This window comes from Homo sapiens, chromosome 8 (assembly GCF_000001405.40).
Source record: "Homo sapiens chromosome 8, GRCh38.p14 Primary Assembly".
NCBI lineage: Eukaryota > Metazoa > Chordata > Mammalia > Primates > Hominidae > Homo > Homo sapiens.
In genome coordinates, this window is record NC_000008.11 from 46,808,496 (window position 1) to 46,828,806 (window position 20,311).

Here is a 20,311-nt window from a genome sequence, read left to right on the forward strand (position 1 = left end):
AACCCTATTTACCTCTCTTGTGGGTACTCCAGGGGCCCTCTTTAGCATCTAACAGCCAGTAGTTATAAAAGACAATTTTGTAACTGAAGTTTGATTTTCAGAAGGATGTTAAATGTTAGGGGTTTAAAACACTTGATATTATGAAATAAAATTCCAGACTCCCATAAATTACTTATTTAACTGAAATGATGACTTAAAAATGTAGAAAGCAAAAACCTTTTAAAATTATTTACAAATTTTGCTAAAGAACAGATTAGTGCCTTATGAGGATCTTGTGCTTTTATTTCAATGCTCAATATACAAAAAACCCACATAATAGATTTCTGAATTTAATTAATGTTCACACACAGAATTTCTTTGGCAAGATTTATTTTAACAATCCTTCCACAACTTGTTTGAACTGTTAGCTTTATCTTATCTAATTCAAAACAATTGTTTGACCCTAGGCAAAAATTTATATTTTCATCCCTTCTTATAATCATTTATTAAAAACACATTTTACTGTTATTGCACACCTTGTATGTAAATCTACTTCCAGTGGCTTCAATTACATGTTATAATGGTAACTTCTAGCAATTTTAACTTTAATGTGAAACCAGGTAAATTGTTGTAATTATGTGCTAGGTGCAGCCAAGGGTTTGACTCCTTTCAGCATAATTAAGGGTGTGGTTAATTCCATGTGTCCTCAGGCCTTACCAATTGTGAGGCAAAGTTGAGCTGTTCTCAAAAACCAAAAAATAGTTTATAACCTTAAGACATTTAGCAAACCTAGTATCTGACCTGCATAATTAAGTCCACCTACTCATCTATTGATCACATTTGTGTTTTGCGGATAATCTTTTAGGTTGTTTTTATTTCTCAAAGATTAAAAGTCATGTGAACTAACACGTACACAGTTTTTATCTTCCCTTCAAAAAATATTTGATCCAAGTTCTTACCATTCTTTAAGTCAATTTATTAGAGCTCTGTTTTATAGACATCACACACATAACACATATATAACTACAGACAGGCAGAAGAAAACTCAGTAACCATAAGATTTATTATTTGCCAATTTCCTGATTGAATTACTGGCCTCTCATGCATGTACTAGAGTGGCAAGACAAAATGAAGGAAAAAAATCAGTTGGCTGAGAAAAAACCTTTTCCTAGCAAAACAAGATCCCAGAAGAGAAAAATATAAAGATCTTTTAAATATAGCTATAATTTGGGTATCCACTTTTAATTAAGTTGAGCACTCTTTAAGAAAGTCTTTTAAATTCCTTATTACCTGACTCTAGCAGCACCAAGCAGCCAGTATTTCTGGCATTCAAACTTTACCAAAGTTAACTTACCAGGTGCTCAGAGGAAAAAACAATTTAGGGCAGTTTGTGAAGGGAAAGAAAATCAGAAAATCTCAAAGGTTACATGCTGATATAAAATCAGAAGGGACTTATTGCCTAAGCCAGGATTAAACCTGGGCCACCATTGTAAAATGGCAGAGGCCAAAACAAAACATTGCCACGTGGTTACAGATCATGCTCCTAAAAACATAAAACAAGATGGAGGCCTGCAGCAAAATGTCCTAACAACCATAGAGAATGGCATACAAAGCACACCAGATTGGCCACAGCTCCAGACCAACCTCACAAATACCCTTTCACAGTGAAAACTCTACAAAGAATATAAGCAGTGATCGTTGGGATCCTAGCCCAGCAAAACATTTTCTAAGAAGAAAAAAAATAGCCTTTTGATTAAAAGTAAACTGCTGACAGGGTAAAGGAAAAAAATAAGGCTTAGGTGTAGGGCAGGGAAAAAAATTTTCATTCTTATGCAAATGGGTTCCTTCAACAGAGAGAAAAACTTAATTGCTGTTGGATGAGGCTGGGTCCCTTGGCCGATGAAGGGGAAGATACCACAAATGCCTGCCATTTTCCAGCCCATAGGAGATGGGGGTGAGGAGCCGCCATTCACCTGTCTATCCCGCATGTGCTTAGGGCTGTTAGAGTGGGGTGGTGCACAGTTTCCTCTACCCTTGGGAGAAGTCCAAGGATGAAAAGGCATACAAACAGAAGAGAAAAAGAGTTTTTAGTTTACCTCTTACCCTTCCTCAAGCCCCACATCTAGACACCAAAATGTTGTAGAACTTTCTCCTTAATTCAGCTAAAACCAGGATCTTGTAACATAACCAGGAACAAATAGGCTAACGAACACACTGAAGGTTGAGGAGTAAAGTTTATTGGGCAAAAAGGAAAAAGAAAAGAAAAACTGTCAGCAAAGTGAGACAGACTCCTGTTAACAGGCCACCACCTCACAGATTGATGAACACCAGGTAACCACATAGCAACTGAATAGTCCAGGCTCCTCCCCTGCCAAAAGGTGTGAATTTCCATGGCTCCACCTCCTTTTCCCAGTGCACAGGTGGGCGTTATTCAGAGAGAAACAGTCAGGAAAGGGCTGGCTTCATCCTAAACCGGGAGTCCAATTTTTCAGCCTTCAGGCTGCTTTAGGCTTAAAAGAGGAGTTTCGCCCAGGACCCTTGACTGTCTCTTGTCTCTAACACTCAAAGTGGGAAAAGGTCCTTTGGCTATCTCCTGTCTCTATCACTCAAAATGAGAAAAGAACAGTCTCTTTAACAAACGGGTTGGAGAATACTGAATATCCAAATGATAAAAAATAAAGCTGAACCTTACCACAAGCATGAACTTAAAATGAAGTAAGATTTATTATTTATAGTTGTTGTAAATAATTTTTTTCTTGAATTTCTTTTTCAGGTGGCTTGTTCTTGGCATGTAAAAGTGCTCCTACTAATTTTTTATGTTAATTTCATATTCTGCCACTTTACTGAATTTCTTTATTAGTTCTCCATTTTTAGTGTAGTATTTAAGTTTTACTATAAAGACAATTATGTGATCTGCAAAGACAATTGGAATTTCTCCTTTTTTATTTGGATGTCTTTTATTTCTTTCTCTTGCATAAATAATCTGGCTGGGACTTCCAGTACTCTGTTAAATAAAAGTAAAAGCAGACATCATTGTCTTGTTCCAGGTCTTAAATAAAAAGCTTTCTTCTTTTCTTGTTCAGTGTGATATCAGCTATTGATTTGTCATATTTTGCCTTAACTGTGTTGAGACACAGACCTTCTATACGTAATTTGTTCAGTTGTTTTAATCACAAAGGCATGTTAAATTTTTCCAAATACTTTTTCTGCATCTAGAATAAAAAATAAAGGAGTTTAGTAGTTAACTTAATTAAAAAGATAAACACAGTCTACACTATAAGTTATAAAACTGATGAAGGTCCAGGCACAGTGGCTCACGCCTATAATCTCAGCACTTTGGGAGGCCAAGGCATGGATCATGAGGTCAGGAGATCGAGACCATCCTGGCTAACGTGGTGAAACCCCGCCTCTACTAAAAATACAAAAAAATTAGCCAGGCGTGGTGGCAGGTTCCTGTAGTCCCAGTTACATGGGAGGCTGAGACAGAGAATTGCTTGAACCGAGGAGGCAGAGCTTGCAGTGAGCTGAGATAGCTCCACTGCACTCCAGCCTGGGCAACAGAGCGAGACTCCATCTCAAAAAAAAAAAACTGATGAAGAAACTAAAACATGAAAAATTTGAGAGATATTTTTTGCTCATGAGTTATAAAAAACATTGTTAAAATAGCTATGCTACTCAAGGTAATCTACAGATTCAATACAAATTCTTTAAAAATACTAATGACATTTTTTTCACAGAAATGGAAAAAACAGGCCTAAAATTTATAGGGAACAAAAAAAAAAAAAACTCCCCAAATAGCCAAAGTAAGCTTGCGGAAAAAGAACAAAGTTGAAAGCATCAAACTACCTGACTTCAAAATATACTGCAAAGCTATAGCAAGCAAAAGAGCATGATACTGGCATAGAAAATGGACACATGGACCAAAGTATCCAGTGATCCCAGTAATAAATTTATAAACCTAGAGCCAAGTAATTTTTAAGTTATTTGAAACACACATTTAAGAAAAGTCAATCTTTTCAATGAATTGTGCTAGGAAAATTGATTATTTAAATGAATACAACTAAGTGCCTCACTGTTACCATATTAAAACAACTTAATTAAAAATAAATAGAAGATTTAAATGTAAAACTCAAATTTATAAAACTATTTGAATAAAACATAAATTCTTTACCAAATAGGACAGAAAAAAAATTTTAATAAGACCTCAAAAGCACAGGCAACAAAAGCAAAAGGAGACAAGTGAAATTACCAGAATCTGAAAAAAATTTACATAGCAAAAATAAATTAACAGAGTGAAAAGACAACCTACAGTGTGGGCAAATATATTTGCAAAATATACATATGACAATGGATAAACATACAAAATATATAACAAATTTAACAGCAAAAATAACACACAATTTAGTAATAGGCAAGAGACCTTAAATGACATTTCTCCTAAGAAGACATACAAATGGCCAAGTACATGCAAAGATGCTCAACATTGAAGAAAAGAATTTTCAACCCGGAATTTCATATCCAGCCAAACTAAGCTTCATAAGTGAAGGAGAAATAAAATACTTTACAGACAAGCAAATGCTGAGAGATTTTGTCACCACCAGGCCTGCCTTAAAAGAGCTCCTGAAGAAAGCACTAAACATGGAAAGGAACAACCGGTACCAGCCACTGCAAAATCATGCCAAATTGCAAAGACCATTGAGGCTAGGAAGAAACTGCATCAACTAATGAGCAAAATAACCAGCTAACATCATAATGACAGGATCAAATTCACACATAACAATATTAACTTTAAAAGTAAATGGACTAAATGCTCCAATTAAAAGACACAGACTGGCAAATTGGATAAAGAGTCAAGACCCATTAGTGTGCTGTATTCAGGAAACCCATCTCACGTACAGAGACACATATAGGCTCAAAATAAAAGGATGGAGGAAGATCTACCAAGCAAATGGAAAGCAAAAAAAAGCTGGGGTTGCAATCCTAGTCTCTGATAACACAGATTTTAAACCAATAAAGATCAAAAGAGACAAAGAAGGCCATTACATAATGCTAAAGGGATCAATTCAACAAGAAGAGCTAACTATCCTAAATATATATGCACCTAATACAGGAGCACCCAGATTCATAAAGCAAGTCCTGAGTGACCTACAAAGAGACTTAGACTCCCACACAATAATAATGGGAGACTTTAACACCCTACTGTCAACATGAAACAGATCAACGAGACAGAAAGTTAACAAGGATACCCAGGAATTGAACTCAGCTCTGCACCAGGCGGACCTAATAGACATCTACAGAACTCTCCACCCCAAATCAACAGAATATACATTTTTTACATTTTTTTCAACATTAATTATTAGAAAAATGCAAATCAAAGCCACAGTAAGATACCAAACCACTTCAGTTAAAATGACTATAATCAGAAATGATATGTGACTGGCCCTTTCATCAGGAGGCATTGTGACATATCTCTGTGCCTATTATTTAGGTGATATGACTCTCCTCTTCTGCCTGGACACTTCCTACAAGGGGCATTGTGCCATACAGTTGGGCATAGCCCTGAAGTTATGCGACTTTTCTGCCAGGAACTTGCCTACAAGGAGAATATTGGAACATTTCTGCCTCAGCACTTAGGTTATGTGGCTGTCATGCCTGTTTCATTACCACAAAGTAAATTTTGACGTATACCTAGGCACAGCTCACAGGCATGATAATGACTCTCATATGTGGACCCCACAAATAGGAGTAATTTTGACTCTTGTAACTTGCTTTAGAAACACAAGTGATATCTTAGATCTCTTTCTGATAAAAAGGTCACAGAAGATTAAAACAGCCTCAGATATTTTATAAAGCCTTTGGCTTGTACAGAGGGTGTAATAACAGAACCCAGCAGAAAAGTGAAATTGTGAGTCTCATATGCACACCCAGCAGACAGTAAGTGCTGTCACATCTCACATATATGAAGCTGTCACTCATGAAATCAGGACATGTGTGGTATTGTAAATCTCATCTCTGGAATATTCTGCCAATGTGATTGTGATATAAATATTTGCCAAGCATCTATGGGATTTGACTCTCCAGCCCATATATGGGATTGTGATCGCTACATGGGCCTGCCTCTAGATGATGTGATTCTCCTGCCTGGGCCCGTCCCTCAGTAAGGATTGTGACATATCACTGGACCTATCTCCTAGGTGATATGACTCAATGCTTGGGCCTCACCCACATAGAGTATTGTGACATAAAAGTTAAACCTGCACAAAGGTGATATAACTCTTTTGCCTTGGTTCTGTCCTAAGTGAGCCTTGCAACATAGCTCAGGACCCATCACCCAGGTGATGTGGCTCTTCTATCTGGTTCCTACCCATGTGTTAGATTGTGATGTATAACTAAGGAAGCACCTAGGTGATGTGACTCTCCTTTTCTGCCAGAGTCCTGCCTACTGGGGATATTGGGACATATCTCTGAGCCCGTGACCTAAGTGATATGACTCTCTTCCCCTGCCTGGGCCTTTAAAATGGTGGGATTGTGACATACTGCTGAGCCCAGCATTTAGGTAATGTGACTCCAATCTTTTTTCTGAACCATGCCCACAAAGGGAAATGTTGACCTATTGCACCCAGATGATGTTACTCTTCTGCTAGAGTCCTGAATAAAGAGGGGATTATTGCATACTGGTAGGCCCAGCACACTGATGATGCTATGGTCCTGCCTGTGGCACAGCCACAGAGAGTATTTTGACATATCTTCAGCTTATTCTGTAGGTGTTTTTTGTTCTCCTCCCTTGGCTAAGTTTTTCCACATGTGAAATTGTGTCATATTGCTGGGTCCAGCACCCAGTGAATGTGACACTCCTTCCTAGATTCTGCCTAGAGAGGGCATTGTGACATGTTTGCCACATCACCTAAGTGATGTTACTTTTTCCTAGTTTTTTGCCCAAAAATGGGATTATGACATATACCTTCCTTCAGTTCACAGGTATGATGGTCAAACTTATATTGGGATTCAGCCAATGGAGGATATTTTGCCTCTCATTGCTAGGCTTAAGTTAATAGGTAAAATCCTGGGTTGCATATTTATAGAAAGTTCACAGAAGTTTATAACACTAACTCATATTGTATAAACTCCCTGAGAGAGCTTCATAACAAGGCCCAGTACAAAGTTAAGATTGTCACTCTCAATTACACACCCAGGTGAAAGTAAAAGCTGTCACCATCCCATATTTACAAAGCCCACTGTTGAGGTACTAGGTCTAACAAGTGAAAAGAGTACAATGATGGAATCGTGACTCTCACATGTGGATCTGACTACAGGTGCGATCGTGACTCATTTTTGGACCCAGCTCACAGGTATAAAAATGGGTACATTCTTGAACTCAGCATAAATGAGAGATGTTGACTATTATACCTGGGATTAAGGCAATATATAAGGTTGTGAGTCCATATGAGCATGTGGACCTCAGAGTAGTTTGCAACTCTCATGCATGCTGTATAAAGCCCTCAGATGTTGTAGAGGGTGTCATACGATGGCCAAGCACACATATCACATTGTGACTTATATGCACACCAAGCTAACAATTAAAAGTGTCACCCTCAATGATGAGAAGATTGTGTCATATCACTGGGCCTAGTACCCTAGTACCTAGGTTGTGTGACTCTCCTCTTTTTCTTCAACCCTGTCTACAGAAGACATGGCACCATGTTTCTTGAGGCTATACCAAGGTGATGTGACTCTTCTGACCTGGCCCTGCCTGCGAAGGAGATTATAATACATCCCGAATTCAGAATCCAGGTGATGAGACTCTCCTGCCTTGTTTCTCCCCACAGGTGAATTTGTGACATACCTGAGTTCAGCTCACATGCATGAACATAACCATAATACCTGGACCCAGAAAGGAGAGATATTTTGACTCATGATGCCAGCCTCATGGCCATAAGTAAAGTAATGGGTCTCCTAATTGTATAAAGTTCACAGAGGATTATGACACTCAGGAATGTAATATAAAACCTGAGTGGTACAAAGAGTGTCATAACAGGGAACAGCAACCAGGTGCGATTGACTCTTGGGTGCACACCCAGCTGACCCTAATGTCATTCTCTCACAGTAACAGGACCTACAAATAAGGCAGTAAATCTCACACAAAAGAGCAAATGAAGGTTGAAATTGTTCCTCTCATACACAGATCTGACCCACAGGTGGTTTGGTGAAGCATGATTCAGCACACCTGTGAGGCTGTGACTCCCCCACTGGAACACAATCTTCAAGTGGGATTGGGCATCTTATACATTGATTTAGCCCATTGTTGAGATTGTGACTCCTCTGCTTCAACCCAACTCACAGGAGGTGTTGACCCACATTCACGAAACCAGGACTTGTGTGGGACTGTGGAACTTACTTCGGAATATTTACTTCTGTGTGATTAGGACATAAAAGTGAGCACACCTCTTCAGTGATTTGACTCTCCTTTTTAGGACATGACCACAGATGACATTGTGACATACATGGACCATACACCTAAGTAAAAATGCCTGGGCCTGCCCACAAAGGGCACTTTTACATGTGACTGGCACCAGCACCCAAGTGATATGAATTCTTTGCCTGATCCCTGACTAGTAAAGGCACTGTGGCTTATACCTAGGTCCATCATGTAAGTGATGTGACTCCCTTCTACTGCCTTGCTCCTGCACTTATAGTTCATTATGACACATAACTGGGTACTGCACCCAGGTGATGTGACTGTCCATTTTGTGTTCTGCCAACAGGAAGTTTTGTAACATATCATTTGACTCAGCATCTTGGAGATGTTTCTCCTCTCCTACCTTGCCCTGACCACAGGGGAGATTGTGACATATTGTTAAACCCAGCTCCAAGGTGAGGTCCCTTTCATACCTTGGTTTTGGACATAGTGGCCATTGTGACATACATCTAGGCCAATTGCCCAGGTGAAATGAGTCTCCTTAACTTCCTAAGCCCTGCCCACAGGGGGATTTTGATAAATCACTAAAACCAGCATCCAGGTGCTGTGACTCTTCTTCCAGGGTCCTGCCCACAAGAAAGATTGTGACATCTTACTGGACAAACACCCACCCAGGTGATGTGATCTTCCTGCTTGCTCTCTGCCCACAGGTGATATTGTGCCATATACCTGAGACCAGATAAGAGGACTAATCATGACTCTTAAACCTGGAGCCAAGTCATATGCAAGATGGTGACTCCAATTCCTGGAACCTTCCACCAGTGTTTTTGTGACCTATACCTTCACCCAGCTCCTGAGTGATTTAATAATCCGGCCCAGGTGTAGCCCACAAATGAGATTTGGACATTTGCCTCAGCTGAGCGCCTTGGTGATTTGACTCTCCTGTCTTAACAATATCCTCAGGAAGGATTGTAACATGTATCTGGACCCATCATCTAGTTGCCTGACTCTCCTCTCCTGCCTGGACCCTGCTTCCACTGGGGATTGTAACATTTCTAAGCACTTTATCCAAAAGATATGACTCTCTTGCCTGGTCATTTCAGGCTAACAGAAGACATCGTGACATATCTCTGTGCATATCATTTAGGTGATATGAGTCTCCTCTTCTGCCTGGACACTGCCCACAAGGGGCACGGTGCCATACATCTAGGTGTAACCCCAAGTTATGCAACTTTTCTGCCAGGAAAATATCTAAAAGGATAATATTGGAAAATTTCTGGCTCAGCATTTAGGTGACTTGGCTGTCATGCCTGTTTCATTACTACAGAGTAAATTGTGACATATGCCTAGGAACAGTTCACAGGCATGATAATGACTCTCATATGTGGACTCCACAAACAGGAGTAATTTTTACTCTCATAACTTGCTTTAGAAACACTAGTGATTAAATCTCTTTCTGGTAAAAAAAAAAAGGCAAAGAAGATTTTGATAGCCTCAGATATTTTATAAAGCCCTTGGTTTGTACAGAGAGTGTCATAACAGAACCCAGCAGAAAGGTAAAATTTTGAGTCTAAAATGCACACCTAGCTGACAGTAAGGACTGTGATTGTCTCACATATATGAAGCCAACTGTCACTCATGAAAACAGGACATGCATGGTATTGTACATCTCATCCTGGGAATTTTCTGCCAGTGTGATTGTGATATATATCTTTGCCAAGCACCTGCGTGATTTGACTCTCCAGACTGGTTAGATCCGGCATATGTTATTGTGATATCTACCTGGACCAACCTCGAGGTGATGTGACTCTCCTGCCTGGGCCCTGCTGTCAGTAACAATCATAACATATCACTAGATCCAGCACCCAGATCATGTTACATTTTTGCCTGAGCCATGCCCACAGATATCACTGTGACATATCACTGTGTCCACCACTTAGGTGACATAACTCTCCTCATTAGAATGGGCCCTGAACACTGTGGGGGATAATGACATATTGCTGGGCCAGGCACACAGGTGATGCTACTCTTTTGCTAGGGACATGTCCTAAAGAGGGTACTATGACATATCACTGAGCTTATCACCAAGGTGATGTTGCTGTCCGGCTTGGGTCCTGCTTACCTGGATAGTGACATATTGCTAGTCTAGGCACACAGATGATGGTAGTCTTTCAGTAGGGCCATGCCTCAAGGAGCACATTGTGACATATCTCTGGGTCTATCACCTAGGTGATGTGACTCCCTGCTTGGGCCCTGCCCACATGGAGCATTGTGACATAAGAGTAGAACCTGCATCTATTTGTTGTAACTCTCTTGCCTGGTTCCTGTCCTAAGGGAGCCTTGTGACATACTTCAAAACCCAGCATCAAGGTGATGTGGCTCTTCTGCCTGCTTTCACCCCACATATTAGGTTGTGTCATGTAGCTAGGGAATCACCTAGGTGATGCGAGTCTTCTCTTCTGCCTGACTCCTGCCTATTTGGGACATTGGGCCAGATATCTGAGGTTGTGTCCTAAGTGATGTGACACTTTTCTTCTGCCAGAACCTTTACAACAGGGTGACATGGCATATTGCTAAGCCCAATACTTAGGTAATATGACTCTACTTTTTTTCCTGAACCATGCCCATGAAAAGTAATTTTGATGTATTGCAGGGCCCAGCACCCAGATGATGTTCCTCTTCTGCCTGGGTCCTGCATAAAGATAATTATGGCATATTGCTAGGCTTCCCACCCTGATGGTGTAACTCTCCTGCCTGTACCAGAGGAACAGAAAGTATTTTTACATATTTTGGACCTATTCTGTAGGTGTTTTGGCTCTCATCATTTTTCTGGTTTTTTTTTTTTTCCACATTTGGGATTGTGTCATATTGCTGGGTCCAGCACCCAGGTAATGCAGCCCTGATTTCTAGATCCTTCCTAGAGAGGGCATTGTGACATATTGCTTGGCACAGCACCTAAGTTGTGCTATCCTCCTGCCAAGTTTCTTTCCTACAAACGGTATTATGAAATGTACATTGCTTCAGTTCATGGGAATGATCATTAAACTTAAATTTGGGTACTACCAATAGTAGATAATTTGCCTCTCATCATTATGCTTAGGGCAATAAATAAGGTTATCAGTTACATATTTGTACAAAGCTCACAGAAGGTTACAACACTAACTCATATTCTATATACTCTTTGGATGGTACAGAGTTTCACAACAGGGCCCAGCAAGAGGTTAAGATCGAGACTCTTGATTACACATGCAGGCGACAGCAAAAGTTGTCACCATCCCACATTTACAAAGCCCACTGTAGAAGTCCTGAGTCTAACAAGCAAATAAAGTACAAAGATGGAATTGTGAATTTCATATATGGATCTTGCTACAGGTGAGATAGTGACTCATTTCTGGACCCAGATCTCAGGCATAATAATGGATCTCTTGTCTGAATCCAGCCTATAAGAGAGAGATTGTCTATCATAACTGGGTTTAGGGCAATATGTAAGATTGTGTGTCAATACAAGCATGTAGGCCTCAGAGATTTTTGCAAGTCTCATTCATGTTGCATAAAGCCTTTGAATGTTGTAGAGTGTGCCATACGATGACCCAAAACACAAGTGAGATGGTGACTCTTATATGCACACAAGGCTAACAGTTAAAGGTGTCACTCCAAAAGATGAGGAGATTGTGTCATATCACTAGGCCTACTACCCCGGTGTTGAGACTTTTTGGTTTAAAGTATTTCCCATGGGAGCATTGCGAAATATTGCTGGGTTAGAATAATAATAATGTGACTCTTCTGCTTGGATCCAGCCAACAGGAGACATTATCACATGTCTCTGGGCCTATCAACTAGGTGATGTGTCTCTCCTGCCAGTGCCCTGCCCACAGGGGACACTGTGACATATTGCTAGATATAGCATCTGGGTAATGTGACTCTCCCCTCTAGCATGGATTCTGCCCACTGAAGAAATTGTGATATAACACTGAGTGCAAAGCCTAGGTGATGTGACTCCCCTATTTGTCCCAGACTCTGCCAAGAGAGGGAATTATAACATATTGCTGAGCCCATCACCTAGGGAATGTGACTATCCACTATTTTTTCAACCCTGTATGCAGTGAGCATGATGACATGTTATTTGAGACTGTACCCAGGTGATATGACTCTTCTGACTTGGTTCTGCCTACAATGGAGATTATAATGTATCCCTGGCTCAGCACCAGCGTGATGTGACTCTTCTGCCTTGTCTCTGTCCAAAGGTGAATTTGTGACATATACCTGGATACAGCTCATATGCACAATAATAACTCTCATACCTAGACCCAGCCAGGGGATATATTTTGACTCTCATAGCCAGTCCTTTGGCAGTGAGTAAAGTACAGATCTCCCACCTGTAAGAATTCACAGAAAAGTATACTACTCAGGCATGTTATATAAAGCCTGAGTGGTAAAAAGAGTGTCATAATAGGCACCAGCAACCAGGTGCTATTGTGACTCTTGGAACCACACCCAGCTGACACAATTGTCATTCTCACACATGAACAGAGCCTACAAATGAGATACTAAATCTCACACACATAAGCAGTTGAAGAAGCTTGAAACTGTTATTGTCATACATGAATCTAGGCCACAGGTGGTTTGGTGATGTTTGAACCACGATTCAGCAGTCCTGTGGGGCTTTGACTCTTCTACTGGAAAAATCTTCAAGTGGGATTGGGACTCTTATATGTGGATCTTGCCCTTTGCTGAGACTGTGACTCCTGTACTTCGACCCAACTCTTAGGAGGCATTAACTCCCATACCCAAAGCCAGGACTTGTGTGAGACTGTGAAACTTATTTCTGAACATTTTCAAGTGTGTGATTGAGAAGTATGACTTTGCCCAACATCTGAGTGTTTTCACTCTTCTTTTTAGGCCCAGAACACTGTTGAAATTGTGACATACATGCAGCGAGCACCTAAGCAATGTATAACACCTTCTTTGGCAATCTGACAAAGGGCATTGTTTATTATCACTGATACCAGCACCCAGCTGATGGGAAATCTTGGCCTGATCCCTTCCTATAAAGTGCATTGTGGCTTTTTTTTAGCTCCATCATATAAGTAATGTCACTTCCTTCTACTGCCTTGGCCCTGCACTTATGTTGCATTGTGACACATAAATGGATAGTGTACACAGGTGATGTGATTCTTTTTTTTTTTTTTGAGGTGGGGGTGGTTCTGCCAATAGGAAGCTTTGTAACATATCACTTGGCTCAGCACCTAGCTGATGTTTCTTCTGTCTTGCCTGGGCCCTGACAACCAGAGAGATTGTGACATATTGCTGTACCCAAGGTAAGGTCACCCTCCTGCCTTGGTCCTGCACACAGGGGCCATTGTGACATATATCCAGGCCAATTGCCTAGGTGAAGTTTGTCTCCTTTCCTGCCTAAGCCCTGCCCACGGGGAAGATTTAGATATATCACTAAAACCAGCACCCAAGTGATGTGACTCTTCACCAGAGTCCTGCCCACAAGGAGGATTGTGACATTTCACTGGACCAGCACCCACTCAGGTGATGTGACTCCTTTCTTCTCCTTGCCTACATATGATATTATGCATATACCTGAGGCCAGATCAAAGGCCTAATAACGACTCTTGTACCTGGAGCCATGAAATACACGGGATGGTAACTCTCATCCCTGAACCTTTCCACAGGTGTTATTGTCAAATATACCTTTGCCAAGCTCCTGAGTGATTTAATAATCCTACCTAGTTATAGCCCACAGAAGAAATTTAGACATATACCTGGGCGAAGAGACTTGGTGATTCGACTCTCGTGTCTTAACAGTGTCCTCAGAAGGGGTAGTAACATCTCTCTGGACACATCCTCTAGGTTATGTGACTCTCCTCTCCTGCCTGAACCCTGCTTCCAGTGAAGAGTGTAGCATTTCTAAACACAGCATCCAATTGACATGACTCTCTTGCCTGGGCCCTTTCAACAGGAGGCAATGTGGCATATCCCTGGGCCCATCATTTAGGTGATATGACTCTCCTCTCCTGCCTGGACACTCTCCACAGGGAGCATTATGCCATAGAGCTGGGTCTAGCACCCAAATTTTGTGACTTTTCTGTTAGGGCCCTGCCTACAAAGAGAATATTGTACTATTACTGGCTTAGGATTTAGGTCATGTGGTTGTCCTGCCTGTTTCATAATCACAGAGAGGAGGGTGACATATACCTAGGCACAGCTAATAGGCATGATAATGACTCTCATATGTGGACCCAGACAATAGGAGAAATGTTGACTCTTATAACTAGGTTTAGGGACATGAGTGATGTCCAGGATCTCCTTCTGGTGCAAAGGTGCAAAGGTGCAAAGGTCACAGAAGATTACAACACTCACACATATTTTATAACAACCTTCAGTTTTACAGAGAGTGTTATAACAGGGCCTAGCACACAGAAGAAACTGTGAGTCTTGTATGCACAGCCAGTCGACTGTAAGGACTTTCACCATCACAGATGGATGAAGGCAACTGTCCTACATGAAAACAGGACATGTGTGGTATCATAAATCTAATCCCTACAATTTTATTCTCTCAATTGTGATATAAATCTTTGCCAAGCACTTGTGTGATTTCATTCTTCAGACCATTTCCAGCCTACATATGGGATTTTGATATCTACCTGGTCCAACCTTGAAGTGATGTGTCTCTTCTGCTTGGGCCCTGCTCTCAGGAAGAATTGTGACATCACTGGATCCAGCATCCAGGTGATGTTCATTCTTGCCTGCACCATGCCCTCAGACATCATTCTAACATATCACTGTGTCCATCACTTAGAAGACATAACTCTTTTCTCTGAAATTGGCTCTACACATAGGGCAGGATAGTGACATATTCCTAGGCCAGGGAGACAGGTGATGATACTCTTTTGCCAGGACCATGCCCCAAAGAGGGCATTGTGACATATCACAGGGCCTGTCATGTAGGTAATATGGCTCTTCTGCTTGGGGCCTACACACTGGAATAGTGACATGTTGCTAGGTCAGGCACAAAGGTGATGGTATTCTTTTGCCTGGGCCACGCTTTAAGGAAGGCTTTGTAATGTTTTGCTGGTCCTATCACCCAGGTGATATGACTTTCTGCTTGACCCTGCCCACATGGAGCATTGTGACATAAGGGCGGCACCTGCACATAGGTGACATAACTCTCTTGCCTGGGTCCTTTTCTAAAGGGGACTGGTGAATGTCTCAGTACCCAGGACCAGGTGGGTCTCCAGCCTGGTTTCTTCAGCCTGGTTTCTGCCCACATATTCAACTGTGACATATATCTAAAGAAGCACCCAGGTGATATGACTCTCTTTTTGTGCCTGAGCCCTGCCTACTGGTAACATTGGGCCATATCTCTCTGAGCCCATGACCTAAGTGATGTGACTCTCTTCTTCTCTCTGGGCCTTTACAATGGGATGATTGTGATGTATTGTATTCATGAGCCCAACATTTAGGTAATACGACTCTCATGTTGTTGCTGAACATTGCCCACGAACAGGACCTATGCCGTATTTCAGGGCCCAGCACCCAGATGATGTAACTCTTCTGCCTAAGTCCTGCATAAAGAGGGAATTATAGCAATTCTTCAGCCTAGCACCCTAATGATGTGTCTCTCCTGCCTGTGCCAGGGCCACAGAAGGTATTTTGACATATCTTTGGCCCATTCTGTATGTGTTTTGGCTCTCATCACTTTGCTGGGTTTCTTCCACGTGTGGTTGTATCATATTGTTGGCTCCAGCCCCCAATTAATGTGACCCTCTTTCCTAGGTGCTGCCTAGAGGGGGCATTGTGACATATTGCTTGGCAAATCACCTAAGCAATGTTAACCTTCTGCCTAGTTTTTTGCCCACAAATGGGATTATGACATATACCTTGCTTCAGTTCAAAGGCATGATGATCAAGTTTCTTTAGGGATTCAGCCAATAGGAGATATTTTGCCTGTCACCACTAGGTTTAGGTCAATAGGTAAGGTCCTCCATTGCATATTTGTGCAAAGCTCGCAGAAGTTTACAACACTAACTCATAATGTATAAACTTCTTAGGTGGTACAGAGAGTTTCATAACAGTGCCCAGGAAAAAGTTAAGATTGTGCCTCTCAGCTACACACCCAGATGAGGTAAAAGTTGTTACCATCCTACATTTACAATGCCCATTGTTGAGTTCCTGAGTCTAACAAGTGAATACAGCACAAAGTTGGAATTGTGACTTTCATAAGTGATTCTGGCCACAGATGGGATGGTGACTCATTTCTGGTCCCAGTTCACAGGAGTAATAGCAGTCTCATTCCTGAGGCCATCCTATGGGAGAGCTGTTGACTATCATACCTAGGTTTAGAGCAATATGTAACATCGTGAGTCCATATAAACATGTAGGCCTCAGAGAGGTTTGTAACTCTCATTCATGTTGTATAAAGTTCTCAGATGTTGTAGAGAGTGTCATACAATTGCCAGAGCACACATGAGATTTTGACTCTAATATACACAACTACCTAGCTGTTAATGGTGTCACCCTTAAAGATGAGGAGATTGTGTCATATCCCTCTGCCTAGTACCACAGGCTTGAGACTTTTTGGTTTAAATTCCCTTCCATAAGGGCATTGTTACATATCACTGGGTCAGAATCATGATGATGTGACTCTTCTGCCTGGGTCTTGAAAACAAGAGATATTTTCACATATGTCCAGGCCTATTGGCTAGGTGATATGTCTCTCCTGCCAGTGCCTTGCCCACAGGGGACACTGTCACATATTGCTAGATACAGCACCTGGATAATGTGACTTTCCTCTCCTGCCTGGATCCTGCCCACTGAAGAAATTGTGACATACCACTGAGTACAAAGCATTGGTGACATGACTCTGCTGTTTGTCCTGGACCCTGCCAAGAGAGGGAATTTTTACATATTGATGAGCTCAGCAGCCAGGTGATGTGATTGTCTTTTTATCTTCAAACCTGTCTTCATTGGTCATGGTGACACATTACTTGAGGCTGTACCCAGGTGATGTGGCTCTTCTGTCTGGTTTCTGCCCCCATGTAAGATTGTGACATATAATTAAGGAAGCACCTAGGTGATGTGACTCTCCTTTTCTGCCTGGGCCCTCCCTACTGGGGACACTGGGATATATCTCTGAGTTCATGACCTAAGTGAAGTGACTCTCTTCTCTGGCCTGGTCTTTACAAGGGAGGGATTGTGACATATTGCTGAACCCAGCACTCAGGTATTTGACTCTCTTTTTTTTTTTTGAACCATGCACACAAACAGAAATTTTCATCTATTGCAGGGCCCAGAATCCAGATAATGTTACTTGTTTGCCTGGGTCCTGCATATAGAGAGAATTGCGGCATATTGCTGGGCCCATCCCCATAATAAAGTGACTCTCATGCCTGTCCCAGAACCACAGAAGGCATTTTGACATATCCTGGGCCTATTATATAGGCCTTTTGGCTCTATAACTTGGCTGGGTTTTTTCCACATGTGGAATAGTGTCATACTGGTGAGTCCAGCACCCAGTTAATGTGGCCCTAATTCTTATATCCTGGCTACAGAGGGCATTGTGACATGTTGCTTGTCACAGCACCTAAGTGATATTATCCTCCTGCCTATTTTTTGGCCACAAATGGGACTACGACATATACCTTACTTCAGTTCAGAGGGATGATTGTCAAACCCATATTGGGATTCAAACAATAGGAGATAGTTTGACTTTCATCACTAGGCCTAGGGCAATAAGTAAGGTCCTGTCCTGGGTTGCATATTTGTACCAAACTCACAGAACTTTACAAAACTAACTCATGATGCATAAACCCCTTTGTGGTACAGAGGGTTTCATGACAGGGACCAGCAAAAATTAAGATTGGGACTCTTGATTACATATCCAGGTGAAAGCAAATGTTGTCAACATCCCACATATCCAAAGACCAATGTTAAGGTACTGAGTCTAAAAAGTGAATACAGTACAAAGTTGGAATTGTGACCTTCATATGTGGCTCTGGCCACAGGTGGGATGGTGACTCATTTCTGGATCCAGCTGACAGGCATAATAATGGAACTCAGTTTTGAACTCAGCCTACAGAAGAGATGTTGACTATTATACCTGGGCTTAGGGCAACATGTAAGATCGTGAATCCATACAAGCATGTAGGCCTCAGAGAGGTTTGCAACTGTCATAAATGCTGTATAAAGCCTTCAAATGTTGTAGAGTATCACACAATGGCCCAGGAAACACGTGAGATTGTGACTCTCATACACACCCCCAGCTCACAGTTAATAGTGTCACCCTCAAAGACAAGGAGATTTGGCATATCTTCTTGTATAATCACTTAGTGCTTTTACTTAGGTTGTGTATTAGAAATGCAGTAGTTGTTAAAAGTAAATAATCAGGTTTAGAATGGTAATATTTGGGTTATAAATTAGTACTGCTATTATTCTACCTATGTGAGTAATTGAGGAGTAGGCTAGGAATTTATGAAGTTGTTTTTGATTAAGTCCTCCCCAACCACCCACTATAATGAATAAGATTGTGATAGATAGGAGAATATTCATGTTTATTGATGGAAAATTTGAAACATAATCAAGATACAGGCTAGTTTTTGTCATGTGAGGAGAAGTATGCCAGATATTAGAGAGCTTCCTTTGGTTTTTGCTGGGATTCAGAAGTGAAAAGGGGCTATTCCTAGTTTTATTACTAGGGCTGTTATTATTATTAATGATGAAAATTTATTAATAGTGTTTATTATTGTTCATTGTCTGCAGGACAGGTTAGTGGAAAGGATACCTATCATGAGAATTATAGATGTGGTTGCTTGTGTAAGGAAATATTTGGTGGATGCTTCTTTAGAGCGGGGATTAATTTTTTAATTAAGATTGGGGTAAGAACTAGTATATTTATTCCTAGTCCTGTTCAGATGAGAAATCAGTATGAGCCTAGCATTGTGCTAAGAGTTCCTGTGACAATAGTAAAGGAGATAATAAGTTAAGCTAATGGATTAGTTAGTAAGGGAAGGGTATAACCAATTTTTTCAGGGTATGGGTCTGATAGCTTATTTAGCTGAACTTACTTTACGACATGGTGTAATAAGTAGCACAGAGAATTTTGGGTTCTCAGGGGTAGGTTCAATTCCCATAGTTCTAGAAATAAGAGGATTTTAACCTCCATTGTTTAGTCTATCAAAGTAATTCTTTTGTTGAACATATTTCCTATGTTTGGTGTGGAATTAGAAGATCTGGTATAGGAAGGGGAGTCCACATATAGGAAGGGGAGTCCACAAGAGGAGAAAGGGTAAGGGTTGTAGCAATAATATAAAGGGTAATAGTAGATGTTGAGAGCCGTAACAGTTCCTTGGTGAGAAGTTTTATTGCATCAACGAATGGTTGAAGTAGTCTTTAGGGACCTACAGTGTTAGGTCCTTTGTGTAGTTGTATATAGCCTAAGATTTTTTGTTCAATTAGTGTAAGGAATGTTATAGTGATTAGAGTGGGAATAATTAGTAGAAGTTTAATTATAGGCATATTGTTAAGAAGAGGTGTTGAACTTCTAATTATAAAGTCTTAAGTTTTATGCAATTGCTGGGCTATGCCATCTTAACAAACCCTGTTTTTGAGCAGGGTGTGTGGTGAGTTGTTAGACTGAGATAACATCATCTATGCAGTGAGGGTGCTTTATGAAGTTGGCCCTATTTCTCTTACCCTTTCATACTAGGAGAAATGTTAAATAGATAGAAACCGACCTGGGTTACTCTGGTCTGAACTCATATCACGGAGGACTTGAATCCTTGAACAAGTGAACCCTTAATAGCGGCTACACCATTAGGATGCCCTGATCCAACATCGAGGTCATAAACCCTATTGTCAATATGGACTCCAGAATAGGATTGTGCTGTTATCGCTAGGGTAACTTATTCT

At 41.0% G+C, this 20,311-nt stretch overlaps 2 long non-coding RNA genes and 3 pseudogenes across 2 annotated transcripts; 1 reads left to right on the forward strand and 4 right to left on the reverse strand.

The window, feature by feature from the left end:
- Positions 1–2,194: 2,194 nt before the first annotated feature.
- Positions 2,195–10,601, reverse strand: LOC124901942 (uncharacterized). The gene is made up of 2 exons (XR_007060903.1): positions 10,518–10,601; positions 2,195–3,191 (listed from the first exon to the last, which is right to left on the reverse strand). It is a non-coding gene; the product is annotated as an uncharacterized LOC124901942 (long non-coding RNA).
- LOC105375812 (uncharacterized) lies at positions 7,668–10,030 on the forward strand. Its single transcript, XR_928835.1, has 3 exons — positions 7,668–7,770; positions 8,742–8,850; positions 9,106–10,030. It is a non-coding gene; the product is annotated as an uncharacterized LOC105375812 (long non-coding RNA).
- MTND2P38 (MT-ND2 pseudogene 38) lies at positions 18,733–19,399 on the reverse strand (annotated as a pseudogene).
- MTND1P7 (MT-ND1 pseudogene 7) lies at positions 19,622–19,918 on the reverse strand (annotated as a pseudogene).
- Positions 19,921–19,995, reverse strand: NMTRL-TAA6-1 (nuclear-encoded mitochondrial tRNA-Leu (TAA) 6-1; annotated as a pseudogene).